At 38.2% G+C, this 9141-nt stretch overlaps 1 long non-coding RNA gene across 1 annotated transcript; it reads left to right on the plus strand.

The window, feature by feature from the left end:
* The first annotated feature begins 662 nt into the window (after window positions 1–662).
* Window positions 663–2690, plus strand: LOC107987356 (uncharacterized). Its single transcript, XR_001756091.1, has 3 exons — window positions 663–775; window positions 893–953; window positions 2489–2690. It is a non-coding gene; the product is annotated as an uncharacterized LOC107987356 (long non-coding RNA).
* Window positions 2691–9141: the final 6451 nt, after the last annotated feature.

The following is a 9141-nucleotide window of genomic DNA, read 5'->3' on the forward strand; positions in this document are numbered from 1 at the left end:
TCAGCATAATTGTTGCTAATTTTTGCATTTTTGAAAAATATTTTCTTATTGGCTGAGGAAATTAAGGGAGCCTGGACTTGGGAAGAAAAGCTAATTTGAAAAGTCAGTCATAAAAATCACATTATCTTTGAGGCAAAGTTTAATAAATGCCAGCTCTAAGAATTGAAACTTCACCCCTATTCCATTTTATTTCCTATGTAGATAGCAGTTATTTGAGGATAGATGGCGTATATGTGAATTCGTGGTCTCATCCCTTGAAAGCTGGCATGTTACAGGTCCCTATCAAGAAGCATCACATATTCCAATGAGTGTCTTAATAGAACTGCTCTAGCAACAAATGTGAACATGCCACAAATTTCCGGAGTATGAACAATCATTTTAACAAAGGGTTGCCTTTTAAAATTGCTAACTTAAAACCTCTCATATTTTTTCTGAATAAAAAGATTTAACCACTGGGAAGTTTTCCTTGGAGATACATCCCAGTAGCTTGAGATAGAAAGTGAGGTATTTGAACATTTACATTAGTTTGGTGGAATACATATGTTTACTGCAGAGCAGCCATGTGATGATTTGTCAGAGCTGTAAATGCTTCAGCTGAAACACTCTGCCAAATATTTATGTGTAAGAATTGAGTTATTCATTTTACTACGACTTGATATCTTGCAGTTCCTGTTCCTTCTTTGCTTGGGTATCTTCACAAGCCTGCATTGTGTTGGCATCCAAGTAAGCTCTGTTAGAAGACAGTATCATGAGAATGTGGATCTAGAAAAGAAGGGTGAGTAGGATGTCTAGAGAGCATGTGAGAAGGCAAAGCATCATGCTAGTTAGGTTAGATGGAGTTGACGTTGAAGGGGAAAAGTGTTATTCTGTATTAATATTTGCTCTATTGCAGAGCTGTGAAATTCTGAAAACATGCTCTACTACTTGGCTTCACATTTTGAAACTGAAGAAAAGTAAGTACACAAACATTGCAAAGTGTTTCTATTGATGACTAAATGTCTGTATACTCATTAGTCTAGATGAGTCACATATATAACACATCTCACTACAATTGGGGCTTGTCTATATAAATAGATATTCATAAAATTTGCCTCAGATGTATATTGTGATAATGCTACTGAGGAATTTATGTTTGTGACTGTTATATTATCTTTAAAATTTTTTAATATTTTGATGTTTCATATTTTGTCTGTTGCCTTGCATCTATAGTTCTCCATCTTTATTCCTTGCATTTTTTCTAAAATTCTCATTTTCCTTATATAATAACAGTGGCCTAATTTTTTTGGATAAATACTTGTTAATTTTTTCTAAATCCTTATTTTCAATATTTCAGTGTGATTATTCCTAGGTGAAAGCAAATTTTTATCAATCTAACGGTAGAGTATTTTATATTTTAACACATGAGTTTAAACAGCTTACATCTAATATGGTTACTCTCTTATCTAAATAACTAACACCTGCTCAGTCAGTTTTTCATTTACCCTAGATTTTCTTTGGCTCTGCCTTTGCCTCCTATCTGCCTTTGTTCTTCTCTCCCTTTCCCCACCCGTCACCTGTTTTTCTAATTGTATTCATTTACTTTTCTTACTCGTATTTTTTTCTTTTTGTGCTTTTGACATTAATCACCAAATTTCTACAGTTTCTGTAGTTAATCAAATTCAAAAATCAAATTAAAAAAATCAGAAAATCAAATTAAAAAAATTAAAGAATCAAATTAAAAAAATTCAATAGCATTTTTTAAACAAAGTAAAACCTATGTCTAGCCCCGTTCAGAAAACAAAACAAACAAACAAACAAAAACTTCCTGCCTACCTCTTTTATTTTGAGATTTATTTTTCTCTTTGCTAAAATAAAATAAGCTTTATGTTTCTTTCTCTTGGTCTTTTGATAAGTCTTTAATATTGGCATAATCTTTGAGAGTTAAAAATATGTTTCTAGTAAATGATAATTTATGTGGATAAATATTTTCTGTAGAGATTATTTTCAAAATCTGTGTGTTTCCCTTTCTGTATATTTTTGTCTTCTTTTGTTTCTTGTAAATGTATATAAAACCTTCCACCACTGAGTTCCACTTTCCTGACTTCTGTTTCATTTACGGTCACCAGATATAATACAGGATTACCAGTTATATTTTCATTTTAAATAAGCAAATAGCATTTTAGTATAATTCTCAATATTCTAGTAACTTACTAAAATTCTCGTTATCTCATGGGACAGGCTCATACTGAAAACAAATTCTTTATTGTTTGTCAAAAAGTAATCAAATTTTAAATTGAAATGTTATGTCCCTGCACCTGGCAAACTTACTACAGATCAACATAGGAAAGTACTTTTCCTACTGTACTTGTTCGGGGTCTACTGCAGAAGAAACAAACAAACAAAATATTATTTGAGTTCCTTTAATATATGGTTGATTTTTCAATAATGTATAATTGTCTATTTAAAAAAGATTATTTTTTTCCTCCTACCCACATCTTTTTTCCTTTAGATTCCATTTCTTCATCTCAGAGAACTCCTAAACCTACTCATTATGAAGACTTTTTTGATTCAACTTTTTATCCTTGAGTATGACCATTAAGTGTGTCTTCCTTTGCTACCCCTTAGGACATGGAACATCCATCTGTGAATTGTTAATGTCGTCTGTGAAGTGATAAAGCAATCTTTAGTTCTTGAGTGTAAAGTGATTCTTAGTGGGGCAGTTTTGTGTTAACCTTTTTAGGTTAACCTTTTAGGTTAATTGTTCAATCTAGTATTGTATACCCATTTCTGCCTTTGGGGACCTTATATTTTGTAGGCAACATGAAAAAATCTAACCTCAGTCTTGAATATACCACAGGATAGAGGCTGAGATATAAATCTTTCTCTCATGTATTTGAATACAAACCTCATTCTGTGTTAGATCCTAGTATCTGTGAGACATGACTCTCTGTACTGACTTAAGTATTTTACCAAAATGTCTGAATCATGCTTTCTTCCACCAATTATTTAGGCAGGGTGCCCAACCCCACTGGACACAGAAATGGTCTCTTTCCTGAAAATATATCTAAATTTACTCCTCAGTTTACTGTATCAATGAACTGTCAGGTTTAATCTCACACTAATATTGCTGGAGTCCAAACCTCAGGGATGTTTCTTTTCTTGATAGTCAGTGTGTTATTCTTTTTTAAAATTTTATCTTACACTTAGAAGCTCTGGCTTTCATAGGAGTTGTTTTTGCAGCTTTTAACTTTGCTCCAGTGAACTGAAAAATAAACGCTTGATTTCTATTAAATCATTTGTCACTTAACAAATAAAATCTCTGACAAAGGTCTTTCTACTATAACCCTTCAGCATTTGAGGAAGAACACATTTTTGCTTATATTTTCTGGAAGTCTTCCCAATTTTGTTTTATTTTGAAGGGTAGGATATGTATTTTATAATTTTTTCATTGATCTATATTATTAATATGCTCTAAATCATTGGCTATTTTACATATATTATAAAGGCTTTGTTGGGAACAGGCCCCAAAATCTGGTCATAGATTGGCCCCAAAACTGGCCATAAGCAATATCTCTATAGCACTGTGACATGCTTCTGATTGCTATGATGACTACAATGAAGGTTGTTTATCAGAATGAAGGCCAAGGACACCTGGCACACCCAGGGCAGAAAATCACTGAAGGTATTCCTGAACCACAAATAATACCATGAACGATCTGTGCCTCAAAGACACTTTCCCACTGCAGATAACTAGCCAGAGCCCATCCTTTGTCTCCTGTTTTAGTTAATCTGTAATCTATAGAAACAATGCTTATCACTGGCTTGCTGTCAATAAATATGTGTGTTAAACTCTGTTTATGGCTCTCAGCTCTGAAGGCTGTTAGCCCCCTGATTCTCACTGTGCACACTATATTTGTGTGTGTGTGTGTGTGTGTGTGTGTGTGTGTGTCTTTAATGCCGCTAGTGCCATTGGGTTATGGTTTCCATGACCGAGCTGGCCTCGGCAAGTGGTGACTATACGGGGTCTCAAACCCAGGTCAAAGGTCACCGGAGCAATGGTTGGAGAATGTAGGACTACACTGGAGGACATCTGGCTACTCTTAAGCAATCGCCATAGTGAGTTAGAAGGGGAGTTTGGAAGCATCAGGTTAACAATGGGACAAGTCCAGGTTCTGGTTTGTTCCACCTTGGAACATTTTCACATTGATGATTAGGAGGAAGGAGAGTATAGCAAAGTAACAGAAGAGGTGACAGAATAGGTTTGTTTGCCAGCTAAAGCTAAAGTGGCAAAGGAGAGAGAGGTTTGTCTCTGCCCTTCTTCACTCCCTCACTATTTTGAAGAAAAAGAGTGGTCTGACCCTGTAGATCTTTCTTTTCTGGAACCCACTGACCAAAAACTAGTTGCCCCATGATTGTTCAAGCAGTGCCATGAGCAATTGCTCTTCGTTCTATTCAGGCAGGAATTCAGCAACCTAGACGAGAGGGTGATATAGAGGCTTGGCAGCTCCCTGTTAGGATACATGCCCCAGGTCAACAGGGAAATATTATCACTACTTTTGAGCCTTTTCCTTTTAAATTACTCAAAGAATTTAAACCAGCTATTAATCAATATGGACCAGGTTCTTCTTTGGTAATGGTACCGTTAAAGAATGTTGCTGTCCCCAGTCAGATGATTCCTACTGAATGGGATGCTCTTACGTGAGCTTGCCTGACTCTCGCTCACTTTTTACAGTTTAAAACTTGGTGAGGAGAAGAAGCTTTTTTCAGCCTTCTCACAATGCGCAGGCCCAACCTCAAATTAATATAACTACAGACCATCTTTTGGGGGTAGGCAGCTGCGTTGGTTTGGATGCACAAGTGGTCATGCTGGGTGATGCCATAGAACAGCTTAGAGGAGTATGCATTAGAGTTTGGAAAAATAACTTCAGGAGGAGAACAATATCTTTCCTTTAGTGCTATAAAACAGGGACCAAAAGAACCATATGCAGATTTTATAGCTTGGTTATAGGAGTCTCTTAAAAAATGACTGCAGATTTAGCTGCTGAGGATATAATGTTGCAGTTATGAGCTTTCGACAATGAAAATCCATATTTCCAGGTGGCTCTGTGACCTATTAGAGGGAAAGCACATTTAATTGACTATATCAAGGCCTGTGATGGTATCAGAGGTAATCTGCATAAAGCTACTTTGGTGGTGCAAGCCATGACAGGACTGAAAGTGGGTAAAGGAAATACTCCATTTCCTGGAGCTTGTTTTAACTGTGGGAAGCATGGTCACACTGGAAAAGAATGTGAAAAAAATCAGTGAGTCAGGCCACAAGTTGAGGGATAAAAGGAAAACTGCTGAGCCTGGAATATGTCCAAAATGCAAAAAGAAAATTACTCGGATAATCAGTGTCACTCTAAGTTTGATAAAGATGGAAACCTGATTTTGGGAAATGCCAGGAGGGGCCGTCCCAGTCCGCTTTCTAAACCAGGGCATTTCCAGCTCAGGAAATGCCCTATATTTCATCTCAAAAGGTGGAGTTTGCAGCTGTAATTGAGGTATGGACTTGTTTTAGTATGCCTATAAATGTGATTTCTGATTCTTCATATGTGGTTCATTCTACACAGTTACTTGAAAATGCTCAGCTATGATTCCACACAGATGAGCAACTGATGACTTTATTTACCCAATTACACACAGCAGCTAGAAGTAGAATGAACCCTTTTTGCATTACTCATATTAGAGCTCATAAACCTCCTCCAGGACATTTGACTGCAGGGAATCAAATGGCTGATCCGCCAGTTGCTACTACAATATCTAATGCCAGACACTTTCACAATTCAACCCATGTTAATGTTTTTGGTCTCAAACACAGTACAGCATTATCTGGAAAGAAGTGAAAGCTATTATCCAGCGATACCCAACTTGCCAAATGGTGCATTCCTCATCTTTTACAGGAGGAGTTAATCCTCGAGGATTAGGACCTAATTCTCTTTGGCAAATGAATGTCACACATTTTCCCTTGTTTGGGAGACTAGCTTATATACATGTATGTGTGGACACATTTTCTCACTTTGTCTGAGCTACTTGCCAATCAAGAGAGTCTTCTGCCTGTGTTAAATGTCACCTTTTGCAGTGTTTTGTGGTGATGGGCATTCCAGCTTCTTTAAAAAGGACAGTGACCCAGGCTATAGTAGCCAAGTTCTAGCTACATTTTTCTCTATATGGAATATTAAACACATTACTGGTATCTCATATAATTTTCAAGGACAAGCCATAGTGGAAAGAATGAATCTCTTCCTTAAACAACAGTTGCAAAAGCAAAAGGTGGAAACAGGGACTGTGGGATGCCACATATGAAATTGAATCTAGCATGATTTACTCTAAATTTTTTGAGCTTGTCTAGGACCAGATGCTATCTGCAGCCAAACAGCATCTACAGAAGCCAGCTGCAAAGATAGAAGCAGAAAAACTGGTTTGGTGGAGAGATCCAATAATGGAAAGTTGGGAAATAGGTAAAATAATAACATCGAGTGGAGGTTATGCTTGTGTTTCTCCAGTACCAAATCAACTGCCAATGTGCATGCCATTGAGACATCTAAAGCCCTGCTATGAGCCAGATACCAAGAAAGTGGTTTTGAGAGGATTCCAAAGACACATCGGTGGCAGTCTTGTCTAAGTTGACCCTGAGGAGGACCCCAAATATCATGAGCAACACCCATCAAAAGCAGCCACCCACCTGAGGACAGATCAAGAAGCTGTCACAGATGGTGAGAGAAAATCTGAGGTGGGACAACCAGTCCCAGTGAGTAATTTAATGATAGCTATCAAAGCGGTGATCACCATTGCCATGAGTATTTCTTTAACAGAACTGACACAGTCCTGTCCATGCTGACACACATGCTTTCTGGTCTCAGTATATTTCATAATAAATCTGCTCCTATAATTGAGGCATACCACCCTTAAAAACCTATTTGTAAACAGAGCTGGACGTGGCCAGAGAAAATGAATGTACTTGTTTGGGAAAATTGCATTGCAGAACAGACTGAGGTGCTGTGTAACAATTCCTAGGGAATCCTTATTGTTTGGCCCCCTAAGGGGATGTTTACCTTAAATTGCAACTCTCAGTCTATGTGCCACAGCCACATTATGTTCAGCTGGTCTGAACAAAGCCATCAGATGGTAAAAATGGTAAGAAGTACCGCAAGAGTTCCTCTGGAAACATGGCGGTATAATGGCACCTCAACCTCAAATGATATGGCTCGCTCTAGGAGCTAAAAATAAGGATTTGTGGAACCTATTAATGGCTCTTCGTAGTATAAACATTTGGGAAAGAATAAAAAAGCATCTAGAAGGACACTCTATGAACATGTCTTTGGATATTGTAAATTAAAATAACAATTATTTGAAGTATCCCAGGCACACTTAACCTTAATGCCAGGAACAGGGGTACTTGAAGGAGCTGCAGATGGATTAGCAGCTACTAATCCAATAAAATGGATAAGAACTCTTGGAGGTTCTGTGATTTTAATGATGATTGTGCTTTTAGCCTCTGTTGTTTGTCTTTGTATAGTCTGCAGATGCAGATCCCGACTCCTGCGAGAAGTAGCTCAGAGTAGTAAAGCTGCATTTGCTTTTATTGTCTTAGAAAAACAAAAAAAGAAGACATGTTGGGAAAAGGCCCCCAAATTTGGCCATCGACAGGCCCCAAAACTGGCCATAAGCAAAATCTCTGAAGCACTATGACATGCTCAAAATAGATATGACGTCTACACTGAAGGTTGTGGGTTTACCAGAATGTGGGCAAGGAACACCTGGCCCACCCAGGGCAGAAAACCACTTAAGGCGTTCTTGAACCACAAATAATATCATGGGTGATCTGTGCCTCAACGACATGTTCCTGCTGCAGATAACTAACGAGAACCCCTCCCTTTGTCTTCCATTTTACTGAATCTATAATCTATAGAAACAACGCTGATCTCTGGCTTGCTGTCAAGAAATATGTGGGTAAAACTCTGTTCATGGCTGTCAGCTCTGAAGGCTGTCAGCCCACTGATCCCACTCTGCACTTTAGATTTCTGTGTGTGTGTCTTTAATTCCTCTAGTGCCACTGGGTTAAGGTCTTCACGACCTAGCTGATCTCAGCAGACTTCTCTAAGAATATTTAATTTTGGTGAAGACTTTATTTTATAAAACCACTTTATTGTAGGTAAATCATATCATGTCATTCTCTATAATCATATCTTCCCATGTTTTGCGTTATGAGATTTGGTTTGCATGGAACTTTCAAAGCCGTTCTCAACCATTCACTTCCTAGGATTTCCAGTTACGATGCAACAGCCCAGTGTTTCCTCTAAACAACTAAAACACCATGGATATAACGAGAAAAAAACAAGGACAGGCTCTGAAAGGCAGAAAGAGGAAGGCAGTTTGTCTAGGGACTTTAGGACTTAAAGATTGATAACATTGTCACTTTTCTGGGTTTTCCTATTTTCTTCCATATATCACAGATGATGGACTGTAGAAGCTTCCAACACAGAATCTCCAATAGGCACAGATAAAAAGGACTTCAAGCAAATCCTGTTCTCTCTCAGCCAAAGGACCAGGAGAGGATGGCCTAACCATACACAATCACACAAAACATTTCTAGGGGTAATAACCAAGCTATTCCAGACAAACGCTACGAGAAAAAAAAAAAAAAAGCTAGTATTGCCATTTGTGTGGAGCCATATACAAAGACAATCTTCTCACGGGGCAGTAATGCTTGATTCTCCATAAAGTCAAAGTAGGCAGCAATTTTTTTTTTTTTTTGAGCTGGAGTTTCTTTTTTGTTGACCAGGCTGGAGTGCGATGGTATGCAATCTCAGTTCACTGCAAGCTTCACCTCCTGGGTTGAAGCAATTCTCCTGCCTCAGCTCCCTGACTAGCTGAGATAACAGGAATGTGCCTCCACACTGAGCTAATTTTCCATTTTTTGTAGAGTCGGGGTTTCTCCATGTTAGCCTGGTTTTGAACTCCTGACCTCAGGTGATCCACCTGCCTCGTCCTCCCAGAATGCTGAGATTACAGGCGTGAGCCACCACATCTGGCCAGAGGGAATCTTCTATCACCCTCCCGGAGAAAGCAGAGGAGAGCATTCCAATTCCCTTATGTCAGGAGTCTCTGGTAGCAAGCTGA

This window comes from Homo sapiens, chromosome Y (assembly GCF_000001405.40).
Source record: "Homo sapiens chromosome Y, GRCh38.p14 Primary Assembly".
In the NCBI taxonomy this organism is placed as follows: domain Eukaryota; kingdom Metazoa; phylum Chordata; class Mammalia; order Primates; family Hominidae; genus Homo; species Homo sapiens.